Source organism: Homo sapiens, chromosome 7 (genome assembly GCF_000001405.40).
Source record: "Homo sapiens chromosome 7, GRCh38.p14 Primary Assembly".
In the NCBI taxonomy this organism is placed as follows: Eukaryota; Metazoa; Chordata; class Mammalia; order Primates; family Hominidae; genus Homo; species Homo sapiens.
Genome location: NC_000007.14, coordinates 74,154,478 through 74,172,181, shown reverse-complemented (window position 1 = coordinate 74,172,181; position 17,704 = coordinate 74,154,478). Strand labels below are relative to the sequence as shown.

At 48.0% G+C, this 17,704-nt stretch overlaps 1 annotated feature.

The window, feature by feature from the left end:
• Nucleotides 9,567-9,762: a silencer, noted in NCBI's record as "fragment chr7:73576750-73576945 (GRCh37/hg19 assembly coordinates)". NCBI's record gives its function as "represses an EF-1alpha promoter that drives an FKBP-Casp9 reporter gene in an ReSE screen in K562 erythroleukemia cells {active_cell/tissue: K562}" and the evidence as "EXISTENCE:reporter gene assay evidence [ECO:0000049][PMID:32094911]".

Sequence of the window (17,704 nt, the reverse complement as noted above, 5' to 3'; positions counted from 1 at the left end):
CTGGAGTGCAGTGGCGCAATCTCGGCTCACTGCAAGCTCCGCCTCCCAGGTTCATGCCATTCTCCTGCCTCAGCCTCCTGAGTAGCTGGGACTACAGGCGCCCGCCACTACGCCCGACTAATTTTTTGTATTTTTAGTAGAGACGGGGTTTCACCGTGTTAGCCAGGATGGTCTTGATCTAACCTTGTGATCCGCCCGCCTTGGCCTCCCAAAGTGCTGGGATTACAGGTGTGAGCCACCGTGCCCGGCCCCCCAGGCAGGTCTTGAACTCCTGACTTCAAGTTATTCTCCCTCCTTGGCCTCCCGAAGTAGTGGTATTGCAGGATTACAGGTGGGAACCACGCACCCGGCCACTCCATTACTCATTTTTTTTTTTTTTTTGAGACAGGGTCTCACTCTGTTGCCCAGGCTGGACTGTAGTGGCACGATCTCAGCTCACTGCAGCCTCCGCCTCCAGCATTCAAGCCAGTCTCCTGCCTCAGCCACCTGAGTAAGTGGCATTACAGGTGTGCGCCACCACGCCTGGCTAATTTTTGTATTTTTGGTGGAGATGGGGTTTCCATGTGTTTCCCAGTCTGGTCTTGAACTCCTGGCCTCAGGTGATCCACCCACCTCAGCCTCCCAAAGTGCTGGGATTACAGGCGTGAGCCACCGTGCCTGGCCACTCCATTACTCTTTTTTTACTTTTTTTTTTTTTGAGATGGAGTCTCACTCTGTCACCCAGGCTGGAGTGCAGTGGCACCATCTCGGCCCATTGCAACGTCCGCCTCCCAGATTCAAGCAATGATCCTACCTCAGCCTCCTATGTAGCTGGGACCACAGGCACCGGCCACCATGCACGGCTGATTTTGTATTTTTAGGAGAGATGGGGTTTCACCATGTTGGTCAGGCTGGTCTCGAATTCCCGACCTCAGGTGATCCACCCGCCTTGGCCTCCCAAAGTGCTGGGATGATAGGCCTGAGCCACCACACCCGGCTACTCCATTACTCTTAAAATGCATCAAATTGCATTTGACCAAAGGGAAACATTAAGGGCTGGAGGCAGTGGCTCACGCCTGTAATCCCAGCACTTTGAGAGGCTGAGGTGGGCAGACAAATTAGCCAGGCGTGGTGGCGCATGCCTGTAATCCCAGCTACCTGGGAGGCTGAGGCAGGAGAATCACTTGAACCTGTGAGGTGGAGGTTGCGGTGAGCCAAGATTGCACCATTGCACTCCAGCCTGAGCAACAAGAGCAAAACTCCGTCTCAAAAAAAAAAAAAAAAAAAGGAAACGTTAATATTTATTCCTGAATGGCCTTACATTTTTTTTACTTCCAAAGTGTCCCAGTCCAAAGTCACTTCAGGGTGAGATCTTGAAGGACAGGAGCCATGTTAAGGGGGTTATGTCCCACAGGGCCTTACATGTGGGAGAAGGGGTGCAATTTGTCATTAATAAAGTAAAAAGCGGGGCATGGTGGCTCACACCTGTAATTCCAACATTTTGGGAAGCCGAGGCGGGAGTGTCGCTTGACCCCAGCAAATGGAGACCAGCCGGGGCAACATAGTAAAACCCCAAATCTACAAAAAATAAAAATTAGCCAGGTGTGGTTGCACATGCCTGTGGACCCAGCTACTTGGGAGCCTGAGATGGTAGGATCACTTGAGCCAGGGTGTTGAGGCTGTAGTGAGCCATGATCACACCACTGCACTCCAGCTTGGGCCACAGATTGAGATCCTATCAAAAAACATAATAAATTTTTTTTTTTTTTTTTTTTAAGGGAGGGCTGTGTGTGGTGGCTCATGCCCGTAATCCCAGCACTTTGGGAGGCTGAGGCTGGTGGATCACTTGAGGCCAGGAGTTCAAGACCAGTCTGGGCAACATGGCAAAACCCCATCTCTGGTAAAAATACAAAACTTAGCTGGGCTTGGTGGCGTACAGCTGTAGTCCCAGCTACTCAGAAGGCTGAGGCAGGAGAATCGTTTGATTCCGGGAGACAGAGGTGGCAGTGAGCCGAGGTCACACCACTGCACTCCAGCCTGGGTGACAGAGCAAGAATCCGTCTAAAAAATTAAAAAATAGACTTTCTAGGAAGGCTGGGGCTTTCTCAGCACTGGGACCAACCACAGGTCATCCCCTCCTTCCCGGCTTAATACCCCTTTCTCCCCAGCCAGCAGCTGGGGCCAGTCTTTCGGGCCACACTCCTAGACCCTCCAATCTATAGGGACTTCCCCCTTCTTTTGGTCTCCAGCACATAGCCCACCTCCACCTGGGATGCAGAGGATTGAGGCCAACCCCAGAAAGTTCTGTATACATTGTGACTGCTTCCATGGCAAAGTTAAATGTCAGCCTTTCCTGAGGTTATCCTCATGAACTTTGGTCCTATTAATAATTTGTTCCCTGGCCGGGCACCGTGGCTCACACCTGTAATCCCAGCACTTTGGGAGGCTGATGCAGGCAGATCACATGAGGTCAGGAGTTCAAGACCAGTATGGCCAACATGGTGAAACCTCGTCTCCACTAAAAATACAAAAATTAGCCGGATGTGGTAGCAGGCGCCTGTAATCCCAGCTACTCGGGAGGCTGAGGCAGGAGAATCGCTTGAACCCGGGAGGTGGGGGTTGCAGTGGGCCAAAATCACACCATTGCACTCCAGCCTGGGCAACAGAGCGAGACTCCATCTCAAAAATAAATAAAGAAATAATAATAATTTGTTCCCTAAGCCCTTCCCCAGAGTGGATATTCCAGGCTTCACCAGTTCCCTTGAGCCCTGGGGTGGCTCTCAAAGGCCCAACTCAGATAACACTTTCTCCCAGAGGCCTTTATTGCAGCGGTGAAGCCTGTGGGCTTGCATTTCAAACTGCCTGTCTTCAAATCCCAGCCAAGCCACTTACTGCTACTGTGTGACCTCCAGCAAGGTGCTTAATCCCTCTGTTCTTTGTCTATAAAACAGGAATAATAATAGTAATACCAGTTATCACTATTCATGCTGTTTTAATGTGCTGAAATGATGTTTTATTGGTATAATATGGCTATTATCTAAAAAAATCTGAAATTAGCCTGGCACGGTGGTGGCTCATGCCTGTAATCCTAGCACTTTGGGAGGTGGAGGCGGGCAGATCACAAGGTCAGGAGTTCGAGACCAGCCTGGCCAACATGGTGAAACCTCGTCTCTACTAAAAATACGAAAATTAGCCGGGTGTGGTGACACGTGCCTGTAATCCCAGCTACTTGGGAGGCTGAGGCAAGAGAATCACTTGAACCCAGGAGGCAGAGGTTGAGTGAGCCAAGATCGTGCCACTGCACTCCAGCCTGGGCAACAGAACAAGATTCCATCTCAAAAAAAAAAAAAAAAAAAAAAAATATATATATATATATATATATATATATATATCTATATATCTATATCTGAAATTGGGCATGTTGGCTCACTGCTGTAATCCCAGTGCTTTGGGAGGCCAAGGTGGGAGGATCACTTGAATCCAAGAGTTTGAGACTAGCCTGGGCAACATAGTGAGACCTCATCTCTACAAAAAAAAATTAGCCAGGCGTGATGGCACATACCTGTAGTCCCAGCTACTTGGAGGCTGAGGTGGAAGGATAGCTGGAACTCTGGAGATGGAGGTTGCAGTGAGATGGCGCCACTGCACTCCAGCCTGGGTGACAGAGTGAGACCCTGTCTCAAATAAATAGATAAAAATAAAGAGGTTTATTCTGAGCCAAATATGAGTGACCAAGGCCCATAACACAATCCCAGGAGGTTCTGAGAACATGTACCCAAAGTGAGTTGGTTACAGCTTGATTTTATACATTTTACAGGGACATAAGTTATAGGGAAACATCAATCAATACATGTAATGTATACATTGGTTCTGTCTGGAAAGGTGGGACAACTTGAAGGAAGGTTTTTGGGGGAGGCTTCCAGGTCATACAGGGATTCGGAGATTTTCTATTTTCTTTTTTCTTTTTTGAGACAGGGTCTCACACTGTTGCCCAGGCTGGAGTGCAGTGGTGCGATCTCAGCTCACTGCAACCTCCACCTCCCAGGTTCAAGCAATTCTCCTGCCTCAGCCTCCCGAGTCACTGGGATTACACGTGTCCACCACACCCAGCTAATGTTTTCATTTCGTGGAGGCAGGATCCTGCTATGTTGCCTGGGCTGGTGTCGAACTCCTGGCCTTAAGCAATTCTCCTTCCTCAGCTTTCCAAAGCTCTGGAATTACAGGTATGAGCCACCACACCTGGCCTCATGTGCTTAATTTTTTTAAGATCACCCCTTCTAAAAGAAATACATGTCATTTTTACTTATTCATAATTAATTTAAATTTTTGCTAAATTATTATTATTTTTTTTAAAGAAAGGGTCTTGCTCTGTCACTTAGGCTGAGTGCAGTGGGCGTGATCATGGCTCACTGCAGCCTTGATTTACCAGGCTCAAGCAATCCTCCCACCTCAGCCTCCCAAGTAGCCGGGACCACAAGCACGCAACATGCCAGGCTAATTTTTTGATTTTTCGTAGAGGTGAAGTTTCACTCTGTTGCCTAGGCTGGTCTCAAACTCCTGACCTCAAGTGATCTTCCTGCCTCAGCCTCACAACATGCTGGGATTACAGGCATGAGCCACTGTGCCCAGCCTGTCTATATTTAGAACCATCATGATGAAAATACAGAACAACCCCGCCTGTACTGTAAATACAAAAATTAGCCAGGCGTGGTGGCACACACCTATAGTCCCAGCTTCTCGATAGGCTGAGGTACAAGAATCGCTTGAACCTGGGAGGTGAAGGTTGCAGTGAGCTGGGATTGTGCCATTGCACTCCAGCCTGTGTGATGGAGTGAGACCCTGTCTCAAAAAAAAAAAAAAAAAAAAAGTGCAGAACAAAGACAAAAAGAAAAATGTTTAGAGCTACCAGAGTGAACACAAATGCTGTTTACCTGACTGTAAGACTGACGATGACAGAAGCAGTAACAGAAGACAATAGAATAACATCATACAAATTCCATGGGGAAATAATGCCGAACCACAGACTCTATACCCAGCTTAATCATCCTTCAATAACGAAAATAAATGTATTCATAGAAACCTGAGATTATTTATCTGTCACAAATCCTTTCTAAAAGAATTGTAGGCCAGGCTCAGTGGCTCATGTCTGTAATCCCAGCACTTTGGGAGGCCGAGGTGGAAGGATCACTTGAGGCCAGGAGTTGGAGGCAGCAGTGAGTCCAGTTCTTTCTTTCTCCTGATAGAATCCTATTAGACCTATATCACATTTTTTTTTTTTTTGAGATGGAGTCTCGCCTGTCGCCCAGGCTGGAGTGCAGTGGTGCAATCTCGGCTCACCACAACCTCCGCCCCCCGGGTTCAAGCAATTCTCCTGCCTCAGCCTGCTGAGTAGCTGGGATTAGAGGCACACACCACTACGCCTGGCTAATTTTTGTATTTTTAGTAGAGACGGGGTTTCCCCATGTTGGTCAGGCTGGTCTCGAACTCCTGACCTCAGGTGATCCGCCCGCCTCGGCCTCCCAAAGTGCCGGGATACAGGCTTGAGCTGCCGTGCCCGGCCTATTTTTACTTTTTAAAAATAATTTTGATGTGCTTTGGCTGTGTCCCCACCCAAATCTCAAATCTCATCTTAAATTGTAGCTCCCATAATCCCCACGTGTCATGGGAGGGACCCAACTGAATCATGGAGGCAGGTTTTTCCCATGCCGTTCTCATGACAGTGAATAAGTCTCAATCTGCTGGTTTTATAAAGGGGTGTTCCCCTGCACACACTCTCCTGCCTGCCGCCATGGAAGATGTGCCTTTGCTCCTCCTTCGCCTTCCGCCATGATTGTGAGGCCTTCCCAGCTATGCGGAACCGAGAGTCCCATTAAATGTCTTTTCGTTGATAAATTACCCAGTCTCAGGTATTTCTTCATAGCAGTGTGGAAGTGGACTAATACAAATTTCAACTTTTATTTTAGATTCAGGGGGTGCACTTGCAGGCTTGTTACATGAGTATATTGCATGATGCTGAGGCATGAGGTACAAATGATGTGGTACGTGGTTACTTAGGTAGTGAGCATACCTGCCTACGATTTCTTTTTTTTTTAAACGGCAGAGTCTGACCCTGTTGCCCAGGCTGGAATGTAGTGGCTGGAATGTAGTGGCGCAATCTTGTCTCACTGCAACCTCCCCCTCCCGAGTTCAAGTGATCCTCCTGCCTCAGCCTCCTGAGTAGCTGGGATTACAGGCTCCTGCCGCCATGCCCAGCTAATTTTTGTATTTTTAGTAGACATGGGGTTTCACCATGTTGACCAAACTGGTTTCGAACTCCTGACCTCAGGTGCTCTGCCTGCCTCGGCCTCCCAAAGAGCTGGGATTACAGGTGAGAACCATCACACCCGGCCCTGCCTACGATTCTTAGGCAGGAATAAACCCATTAACCAGCATCTCAATCAAGACACAGAACATTACCTGGACCCCTGGAAGCCTCCCTGTGTTCCTTCCCACCTACGGTACTAAGCATACCAGCCTACAGTTCTTTTTTTTGTTTTGTTTTGTTTTTTGAGATGGAGTCTTGCTCTGTCACCCAGGCTGGAGTGCAGTGGCGCAATTTCGGCTCACTGCAACCTCCGCCTCCTGGGTTCAAGTGATTCTCCTGTCTCAACCTCCCTGTTGTGGTAAATTGAGGAACGGAGAGACCAATACAGAGTACAGGAGAATTGTTGTTTGTTTTAGGTACGCACCGGCTCTGTGGACTGACATCCAAAAAACTGAACATTAAACAAAGACCGAGTGGGGTTTTTATAAGCAGCCTTACAGAGGCAAAACAAAAGTAGTTAATCATACAGTGACAGGTCATGTAATCTATAGCATAACATAACTTGTGGCCCTGCGTAGCTAGTGACCTTGTAGCTGCGTTGAAAGAAAAACAAGAACTCGCTAAATACAGACATTTGTAAAACATAATCATGCTTAAGAAGCCTGGGAAACGAGTAACAGTAAAAGAATCTTTCTCTTTTTTTCCTTCAACCTTGCTCTGGAAGGGGGCGCTGTCTGGAGCCCATTCCTTTGGCCTTGGCTATTTGGACAGCGTTATAACTGTCTTTGAAGTGAGCTTGGCAAGGCACAGGAAAACTTGTTCCTTTTTTTTTTCTTTTTAACCCTTGCCTTGCCACATTCTGGGCCTTAGCTTTTACTTTTCTTGGAGTGAATAAATGCAGTACTTATTATTATTTTTAAATTTCTGCCTCATCCCAAGTAGCTGGGATTAGAGGTGTGCACCACCATGCCTGGCTAATTTTTGTAGTTTTAGTAGAGACGGGGTTTCACCATGTTGGTCAAGCTGGTCTCAAACTCCTGACCTCATGATCCGCCCACCTCAGCCTCCCAAGGTGCTGGGATTAAAGGCGTGAGCCACTGTGCCCGGCCTACAGTTCTTTTAGAAAGAATGCATGAGAGATAAGTGAGCAATAGTTTTTCGACTCCTTCCCCGCTCCCTCATGTTTTTTAAAAATGGTTTTATTTATTATTTATGCTTTTATTTTTTGAGATTGAGTCTCATTCTGTCACCCAGGCTAGAGTGCCGTGACATGATCTTGACTCACTGCAACCTCTGTCTCTGGGGCTCAAGCGATCCTCCCACCTCAGCCTCCTGAGTAGCTGGGACCACAGGCAGGTACCACCATGCCCGGTTAATTTTCTGTATTTTTGGTACAGACAGGGTTTCACCATGTTGCCCAGACTGGTCTCAAACTCCTGAGCTCAAGCGACCTGCCAGCCTTGGTCTCCCAGGGTGCTGGGATTGCAGGCGTGAGCCACTGTGCCCGGCCTTCATCACCATTTTTATTATTTTTATTTCATTTATTTATTTATTTATTTTGAGATGGAGTTTCACTCTTGTTGCCCAGGCCATAGTGCAATGGTGCAATCTTGGCTCACTGCAACCTCTGCCTCCCAGGTTGAAGCAATTCTCCTGCCTCAGCCTCCCAAGTAGCTGGGATTACAGGCATGTGCCACCACACCCCACTAATTTTCTGTATTTAGTAGAGACGTTTTAGTAGATTTAGTAATAATTTTCTGTATTTAGTAGAGAGTAGTTTTCCCATATTGGTCAGGCTGGCCTCGAACTCCTGACCTCAGGTGGCTCACCCACCTTGGCCTCCCAAAGTGGTGGGATTACAGGTGTGAGCCACTGTGCCTGGCCCATTTTTATTTTTAAAAGTTGTATTTAGTTTTTCTACAAAACTACCTTCCCCTGCTACCCACAATGTCTTATTCTTTTAGCGTTCTCATTCTTTCTTACTATTTTTATTTTAATTGGTTATTAAGTTACTTCCTTGGGTTACAACATACATCCAGAAAAGTGTACACATCACACAAACTCCCTAAGTGTTAAAAAACAGAATAAATCCACGTAACCAGCATCTCCACCAGGACACAGAACATTATCAGGACTTCCAGAAGGCTCTCTTATGCTCCTTCCCGCCAAGGTAAACACTGTTATAAATTATTATTATTTTGAGAAATAGGGTCTTGCTCTGTTGCTCAGGCTCGAGTGCAATGGCACAATCATAGCTGTCGCCTCGAACTCCTTGGCTCAAGTGATCTCCTGCCTCAGCCTCCTGAGTAGCTGGAACCACAGGTGCACACCACCACACCCAGCTAATTTTTAAATTTTTTGTGGAAACAAGGTCTCCATACATTGCCCAGGCTGGTCTTGAACTCTTGGGCTTAAGCAGTGTTCCTAGCTTGGCCTGCCAAAGTGCTGGTGATACAGGAGTTAAAAAGGAATTATTTAGGCAGACAGGGAGAGTAAGAAAGTCCTTGGTAAGGTTTCCCTTTTAATAAAAAGCAGTGCCAAAATCATTTCTTGTCCTTTTTTATTTTTTTTGAGATTGAGTTTTGCCCAGGCTGGAGTGCAGTGGTGCGATCTCGGCTCACTCCAACCTCCACCTCCCAGGTTCAAGCGATTCTCTTGCCTCAGCCTCCCGAGTAGCTGGGATTACAGGCATGAGCCACCATGCCCGGCTGATTTTTGTATTTTCAGTAGAGATGGAGTTTCACTATGTTGGCCAGGCTGGTCTCGAACTCCTGACCTCAGGTGATCCACCTGCCTCGGCCTCCCAAAGTGCTGGGATTACAGGTGTGAGCCACTGTGCCTGGCCAAAATAATTTCTTTTCTAACAAACAGCAGCCTGTAAAATCGAGCTGCAGACACAGATAAGCAAGCTGGAAGCTTGCACAAGTGAATGCCTGCAGCTGTGCCAAAAGGAAAAGGCTTACAGGCATGTTGAACATGGCGGCTCCATCTTCCCTTTTCTTTGTCAACATGTGTGTAGTAAGGAACAGGCAAGATGGCACCCGCCGGGTAGAGATTCCATCTGCATAATAAAAGATTAGGGGCCAGGCACAGTGGCTCACACCTGTAATCCCAGTACTTTGGGAGGCCGAGACGGGCAGATCACGAGGTCAGGAGATCGAGACCATCCTGGCTAACATGGTGAAACCCCGTCTCTACTAAAACTACAAAAAATTAGCCAGACGTGGTGGCGGGCGCCTGTAGTCCCAGCTACTCAGGAGGCTGAGGCAGGAGAATGGCGTGAACCCGGGAGGCGGAGCTTGCAGTGAGCGGAGATCACGCTACTGCACTCCAGCCTGGGTGACAGAGCAAGACTCTGTCTCTAAATAAATAAATAAAATAAAAGATTAGAGTGAGTGGCCAGCTTCTTTACATGCTTTGTAAATGGCACACCTGGTCCAATCAACCTTTGGCTCCTATGCAAATCAGACACAGCCTCCTCAAGTCAGTCTATAAAACCCGTGCACTTGGCCACAGATCAGAAAACCCACTCCAGTGCCCCTCTGTCTCTGCAGGAGAAAGAGCTATTCCCTTTTCTCTTCGTTTCACCTATTAGACCTCTGCTGTTAAACTCACTTCTTGTGTATCCTTGACTCTCTTGGTGTGAGACAATGAACTCAGGTATTTACCACAGACAACAATGCCACTTCATTGAGATTACAGGTGTGAGCCACCTTGCCTGGCCTTATAAAATCATTTTTAATAGCTCTATTTTGTCCCGTTTTTCAGGTGGTTATCATACATTCTGGACACTTTGGGCCTCTCCTTCTTCTGTTTCTCATTCTTGTGTTTGCTGAGTTTCAATCCTGGTGGATTGTGCCCCAAAATGTTTGACATTTCTCACTGTGAGCTCATCAAAGTGGATGGATGGTTCTTGATTTTCTTTTCCTCCAATAGAATCCATTGCTGGCCAGGCGCAGTGGCTCATGCCTGTAATCCCAGCACTTTGGGAGGCTGAGGTGGGCGGAGATCGAGACCAGCCTGGCCAATATGGTGAAACCCCGTCTCTACTAAAAATACAAAAATGAGCCAGGCGTGGTGGCACGCATCTGTAGTCCCAGCTACTCGGGAGGCCAAGGCAGAAGAATCGCTTGAACCCAGGAGGCAGAGGTTGCAGTGAGCTGAGATCGTGCCACTGCACTCCAGTCTTGGCAACAGAGTGAGACTCTGTCTCAAAAAAAAAAAAAAAAAGAATCCATTGCAGCCTCGATGTTGAGAACACGACTTCAGAGCTTTTCCATGCTTTGCCTGGAATCATCAGATTGTAGTACTGGAAAGGGGTCCCTATCCAGACCCCGAGAGAGGGTTCTTGGATCTCACGCAAGAAAGAATTTGGGGCAAGTCCATACAGTAAAGTGAAAGCAAATTTATTAAGAAATTAAAGGGGCCCGGCATGGTGCCTCACACCTGTAATCCTAGCACTTTGGGAGGGCAAGGCAGGCAGATCACTTGAGGTCAGGAGTTCCAGACCAGCCTGGTCAACATGGCGAAACCCTATCTCTACTAAAACTACAAAAATTAGCTGGTGTGGTGGTGCACACCTGTAATCCCAGCTACTCAGGAGGTGGAGGTTGCAGTGAGCCAAGATCGCACCACTGCACTCTAGCCTGGGTGACAGAGTGAGACTCTGTCTCAAAAAACAATAATAATAATAATAACAATAAAAAAAAGAAACTAAAGGAATAAAGAATGGCTACTCCACAGGCAGAGCAGCCCCGAGGGTTGGTGGTTGGCTTTTTTGTTGTTGTTGTTGTTGTTGAGACAGAGTCTTGCTCTATCACCCAGGCTGGAGTGCAGTGGCATGATCGCGGTTTAGTGCAACCTCTGCCACTCAGGTTCAAGTGATTCTCCTGCCTCAGCTTCCTGAGTAGCTGGGACTACATGTGTGTGCCACCATGCCCAGGTAAATTTTTGTATTTTTAGGAGAGACAGGGTTTCACCATGTTAGCCAGGATGGTCTCGATTTTCTGACCTTGTGATCCACCCACCTCGGCCTCTCAAAGTGCTGGGATTACAGGCGTGAGCCACCGTGCCAGGCCTGGTTGGCTATTTTTCTGGTTCTTTTTTTTTTTTTGAGATGAAGTCTCGCTCTGCCACCCAGGCTGGAGTACAATGACACATTCTCAGCTCACTGCAACCTCTGCCTACCGGGTTCAAGCAATTCTCCTGTCTCAGCCACCCCCCCCCCCCCCCCCCGCGAGTAGCTGGGTCTACAGGCATGCAACCACCACGCCTGGCTAATTTTTGTATTTTTAGTAGATACGCGGTTTTACCATGTTCGTCAGGCTGGTCTCACACTCCTGACCTCAAGTGATCTACCCACCTTGGCCTCCCAAAACGCTGGAATTACAGGCGTGAGCCACTGTGCCTGGACGGTTATTTCTTGATTATATGCTAAACAAGGGGTGGATTATTCATGAGTTTTCCAGGAATGGGGTAGGCAATTCCCGGAACTGACGGTTCCTCCCCTTTTTAGACCGTATAGGGTGACTTCTGGACATTGCCATGGCATCCGTAAACTGTCATGGTGCTGGTGGGCGTGTCATTTAGCATGCCAGTGCATTATAATTAGTGTATAATGAGCAGTGAGGATGACCAGAGGTCACTTTTGTCACCATTTTGGTTTTGGTGGGTTTTGGCTGGTTTCTTTACTGCAACCTGTCTTATCAGCAAGGTCTTTGTGTATCTTGTGCTGACCTTCTATCTCCTCCTGTGACTAAGAATGCCTTAACCTCCTGGGAATGCAGCCCAGTAGGTCTCAGCCTCATTTTACCCAGCCCCTATTCAAGATGGAGCTGCTCTTGTTTGAACGCCTCTGACAACTGGGCTCAATATTTCTGTCAGTGGTTGACTAGGGAGTTCCTGGACCACTCCTGTCCAGTCAACAGGTATCTGAAACCATGTGATGCAAGGTTGGGAGTGTCAACCTAAAAGCAATAAATGAGGACAAACTTATATAAGGAGAGAGTTTATTTGGGGCAAGCTTGAGGGTTACAGCTTGGGAGCATAGATTCCAGTTGTCCTGAATGTACACTCTGATAAGCAGCAGTTACAAATAGGTTGTTTTTTGTTTACTTTTCTTTTCTTTATTTTTTTGAGACAGAGTCTCGCTCTTGTTGCCCAGGCTGGAGTGCAATGGCACAATCTCGGCTCACTGCAACCTCCATCTCCCAGGTTCAAGCGATTCTCCTGCCTCAGCCTCCCGAGTAGCTAGGATTTCAGGCGCCAGCCACCACACCCAGCTAATTTTTGTATTTTTAGTAGAGACAGGGTTTCACCACATTGGTCAGGCTGGTCTTGAACTCCTGACCTCAGGTTATCTGCCTGCCTTGGCCTCCCAAAGTGCTGGGATTACAGGTGTGAGCCACTGCACCCGGCCGTTTTCTTTTTTCGAGACGGAATCTCGCTCTGTCACCCCAACTGGAGTGCAGTGGTGCCATCTTGGCTCACTGCAACCTCTGCCCCCTGGGTTCAAGTGATTCTTGTGCCTCAGTCTCCTGAGTAGCTGAGATTACAGGTGCCTGCCACCACAGCCGGCTAATTTTTGTATTTTTAATAGAGACGGGGTTTCACCATGTTGGCCAGCCTGGTCTTGAACTCTTGGCTTCAGGTGATCCACCTGCCTTGGGCTCCCAAAGTCCTGGGATTACAGGCATGAGCCACCTTGCCTGGCCACAAATAGGTTTTTTTTGAGTCAGGGTCTTGCTCTGTTGCCCAGGCTGGAGTGCAGTGGCGCCATCATAGTTCACTGCAGCCTCCAACTCCTGGGCTCAAGCGATCCTCCTATCTCAGTCTCCTGAGTAGCTCAGACTATAAGCATGTGCTACCACACCCAGCTAATTTTTTAATTTGTTGTAGAGATAGGGTCTCGCTGTGTTGCCCAGGCTGGTCTCAAACTCCTGGCATCAAGCAATCCCCCTTCTGCCTCAGCTTCCCAAAGTGCTGGGATTACAGGCCTGAACCATGGAATCCAACACAAGGAGGTTTTTAATGGAAAAGAAGAGGCAGTTTCCTAAATTAGTTACCAGGAATTTATATGACAATAACGTGAGCTATTGATTGGCTACACATTGTTATTTGTATCACTGATTGTGAGAATTTAAAGATAATGGAGCTGTAATCGCAGCACTTTGGGAGGCTGAGACAGGTGGATCACCCGAGGTCAGGAGTTTGAGACCAGCCTGGCCAACATAGTGAAACCCCTTCTCTACTAAAAATACAAAAAATTAGCTGGGCGTCGTGTTGGGTGCCTGTAATCTCAGCTACTAGGAGGGAGTCTGAGGCAGGAGAATCACTTGAATCTGGGAGGCGGCGGTTGCCGTGAGCCAAGATCGGGCCATTACACTCCAGCGTGGGCAACAAGAGCGAAACTCTGTCTCAAACGAACAAACAAACAAAGATAATGGATGAGACAGCAACTTGGGAAGAAAATGACTTTAAACAATTGCCCCAGGCCCAGCACGGTGGCTCACGCCTGTAATGCCAGCACTTTGGGAGGCCGAGGTAGGCAGATCACTTGAGCCCAGGAATTTGAGACCAGCCTGAGCAACATGGTGAAACCCCATCTCTACAAAACATACAAAAATTAGCCAGGCGTGGTGGTGCATAGTTGTAGTTCCAGCTACTTGGGAGGCTGAGGTGGGACGATCCCTTGAGCCCGAGAGGCAGAGGTTGCAGTGAGCTGAGATTGTGCCACTGTACTCCAGCCTGGGTGACAGAGTGAGACCCTGTCTCAAAAAAATAAAAATAGCTGGGCATGGTGGCTCACCCTTCTAATCCCAGCACTTTGGGAGGCCGAGGCGGGCGGATCACCTGAGGTAGGTAGTTTGACCAGCCTGACCAACATGGTGAAACCCCGTCTCTACTAAAAATACAAAAGAAGTTAGCCAGGCATGATGGTCTATCCCTGTAATTCCAGCTAGTTGGGAGGCTGGAGGCAGGAGAATCGGTTGAACCCAGGAGGCGGAGGTTGCAGTGAGCCGAAATCGCACTGTTGCACTCCAGCCTGGGTAACAAAAGCCAAACTCTGTCTCAAAAATAAATAAATAAATAAATAAATAAATAAATAAATAAAAAATCGCCCCTTGGGCATGGATTAGGGAGGGAGGGTAGGGGAGAGGGTTGGTGCGGGTATGGGGGTCATGCCTGAATTCCCATTCACGTGTCTTTCTGGACCTGCTTACATCACAGGCCCTAGATTGCTCCAAGCTATTCTCCTTTTCTTAGGAGTTTTGAATTCTCAGGCTGAAACGGATAAGCTTGCTTGTCACTTCTCTGTGTAGATGGGTACATGTTCTCAAGCTGATCCTATAGCTGTAATAGATCTGTTGTCTGATGCTCACAGCAAGTCAATAAGCCCAGATGCCAGGTTGCAAGAGATGTTTCAGGCCTGGTGCAGTGTCTCATGCCTGTAATCCCAGCACTTTGGGAGGCTGAGGCGGGTGGATCACCTGAGGTCAGGAGTTCAAGACAAGCCTGGCCAACATGATGAAACCCTGTCTCTACTAAAAATACAAAAATTAGCAGAGTGTGGTGGCACAGGCCTATAGTCCAAGCTACTCAAGAGGCTGAGGCACAAGAATCACTTGAATCCGGGAGGCGGAGGTTGCAGTGAGCCAAGATCGTGCCACTGCTCTCCAGTTTGGGTGACAGAGCGAGGCTCAGTCTCAAATAAATAAATAAATAAATAAGAATGAGAAGAGGTGTTTCATCATAGAATCACCAAACAAGGAGATGGGAAGAAACCTCAAATCTGCCTCCACAGGAGTTTCGGACTGGGGCTATTCTGGGTCTTGGAGTGGGCTGAAGTGTGGAGGTCATTGATTGGTTGAAGAGTGCAGAGTAAAGTCATGGGACAAGGAGAGGTGCAGCTGTGTTTTGTTGTTGCTGTTGTTTTGAGACAGAGTCTTGGTCTTTCGCCCAGGCTGGAGTGCAGTGACACGATCTCGGTTCACTGCAACCTCCGCCTCCCTGGTTCAAGTGATTCTCCTGCCTCAGCCTCCCAAGTAGCTGGGACTACAGGCTAATTTTTATATTTTTAGTAGAGACTGGGTTTCACCATGTTGGCCAGGCTGGTCTCGATCTCTTGACTTCATGATCTGCCCGCCTCGGCCTCCCAAAGTGCTGGGATTACAGGCATGAGCCACCATGCCCAGCCTCTGTTGGTTTTTTTGAGACAGGGTCTCAGTCAGTTACCCAGGCTGAAGTGCAGTGGCGCGATCTTAGCAATCTTAGCTCACTGCAGCCTCAATCTCCTGGGCTCAAGTGATCTTCCTACCTCAGCCTTCCAAGTAGCTGGAACTACAGGCATGTGTCACCACGCTAATTTTTCTTTTCTTTTCTTTTCTTTTTTTTTTTTTTTTTTTTTTTTTGAGACCGAATCTCACTCTGTCACCCAGGCTGGAGTACAGTAGTGTGATCACGGCTCACTAAAACCTCTGCCTCCCAGGCTCAAGCGATCCTCCCACCTCAGCCTCCCAAGTAGCTGTGACTACAGGTTTGCACCACCACATCCAGCTGATTTTTTTGTTTGTTTGTTTGTTTGGTAGAGACAGGGTCTTGGCTGTGTTGCAGAGACTGGTCTCGAACTTCTGGGCTCACACAATTCTCCCACCTCTGCCTCCCAGGTGGTGTGATTACAGGTGTGAGCCACTGCCCCCAGCCCAGGAAGAAGCTGTGTTCTATGCTGATACCGTTTCTCTGTGGGGATCCTCAAACTGGTTGGTATTAGCTATTTCACAGGAATTTGGGGCCTGAAAAACATCTTAAGCAATCTTTACAGTAAGCCTTATGATCCTAGTGTCAGAGATCCTGTCTGTAGGAACAATGGGATGCAATGGTCAGGAACTAGTGCTACGTGACATTTAGCAACAACGAAGTAGGCCAAAGTGCAGCCTGAAGGATGCTAATTATAACAATATTTCTGTCCGGAACCGGGCGTGCAGTTCTTGTCAACCCTGTGGGGACGGTTTCAGTCCTTTTGGTGAAGGTGTGGCTCCTGAAGGATGAAGTGATCTCAGTTCTAACTCTGTACCTTAGGTGGGCCTCCGCTTGTCTCCCGTACCCCACATGGGATTTAAAACAAGCCTTGGCAAGGTGTAGTGGCTCACACCTGTCATCCAAACACTTTCGCAGGCCAAGGCAGGTGGATCACCTGAGATCAGGAGTTCAAGAGCAGCCTGGCCAACGTGATAAAACCCCATCTCTACTAAAAATACAAAAACTAGCTGGGCGTGGCTGCGCATCCCTCTAATCCCAATTACTCAGGAGGCCAAGGCACGAGAATCACTTGAACCCGGGAGGCGGAGGTTGCAGTGAGCTGACATCACGCTATTGCACTCCAGCCTGGGGGACAGAGCAAGACTCTGTCTCAAAAAATAAATTAATTAATAAATAAAAAATAAAACACAAGCCCTGGCCAGGTGCGGTGGCTCACACCTGTAATCCAAACACTTTGGGAGGCAGAGGCAGGAGGATTGCTTGAGACTATGAGTTTAAAACCAGCCCCAGGCAACATGGCAAGACCCCCATCTCTCCAAAAACTTTAAAACATTATCCAGTTGTGCTAGTGCACACCTGTTGTCCCAGCTAATCAGGATGCGGAGGCAGGAGGATGACTTGAGCCCAAGAGCTCGAGGCTGCAGTGAGCTATGGTTGTGCCACTGCCTTCCAGCCTGGGTGACAGAGCAAGACCCTGTCTTACAATAATAATAATAAATAAATAACCAAAACATAAGCCCCGATTGCTCACCCCATCCTCACTCCGGGGCAGAAGCAATGAGAGCTCACCAGTTGTTCTTTGCATGGATCAGTCTTTTCTCGTTTCTGCCTTTGGAGATTTCCTTTTCTTTCTTGGAAATGCAGCTGTGAATTTGAAATAAATTTTTCTTTTTCTTTTTTTTTTGATATGGAATTTCTCTCTGTCACCCAGGCTGGAGTGCAGTGGCGCAATCTCGGCTCACTGCAAGCTCCGCCTCCTGGGTTCACGCCATTCTCCTGCCTCAGCCTCCCAAGTAGCCGGAGGCTACCCGCCATCATGCCTGGCTCATTTTTGTGTACTTAGTAGAGACGGGGTTTCACCATGTTAGCCAGGATGGCCTCAATCTCCTGACCTCATGATCCGCCTGCCTCGGCCTCCAAAAGTGCTGGGATTACAGGCGTGAGCCACCGCGCCTGGCCGAAATAAATTTTTCTTACATTTTATTGACCATTTTAAGGATTTTGTGATGGGAAAATGTTCAGATTATTTGTTTGTTTGTTTGTTTATTTTTTGAGACAGACTCTTGCTCTGTTGCCCAGGCTGGAATGCAGTGGCACAATCTCGGCTCACTGCAACCTCCGCCTCCCAGGTTCAAGCTATTCTCCTGCCTCAGCCTCCTGAGC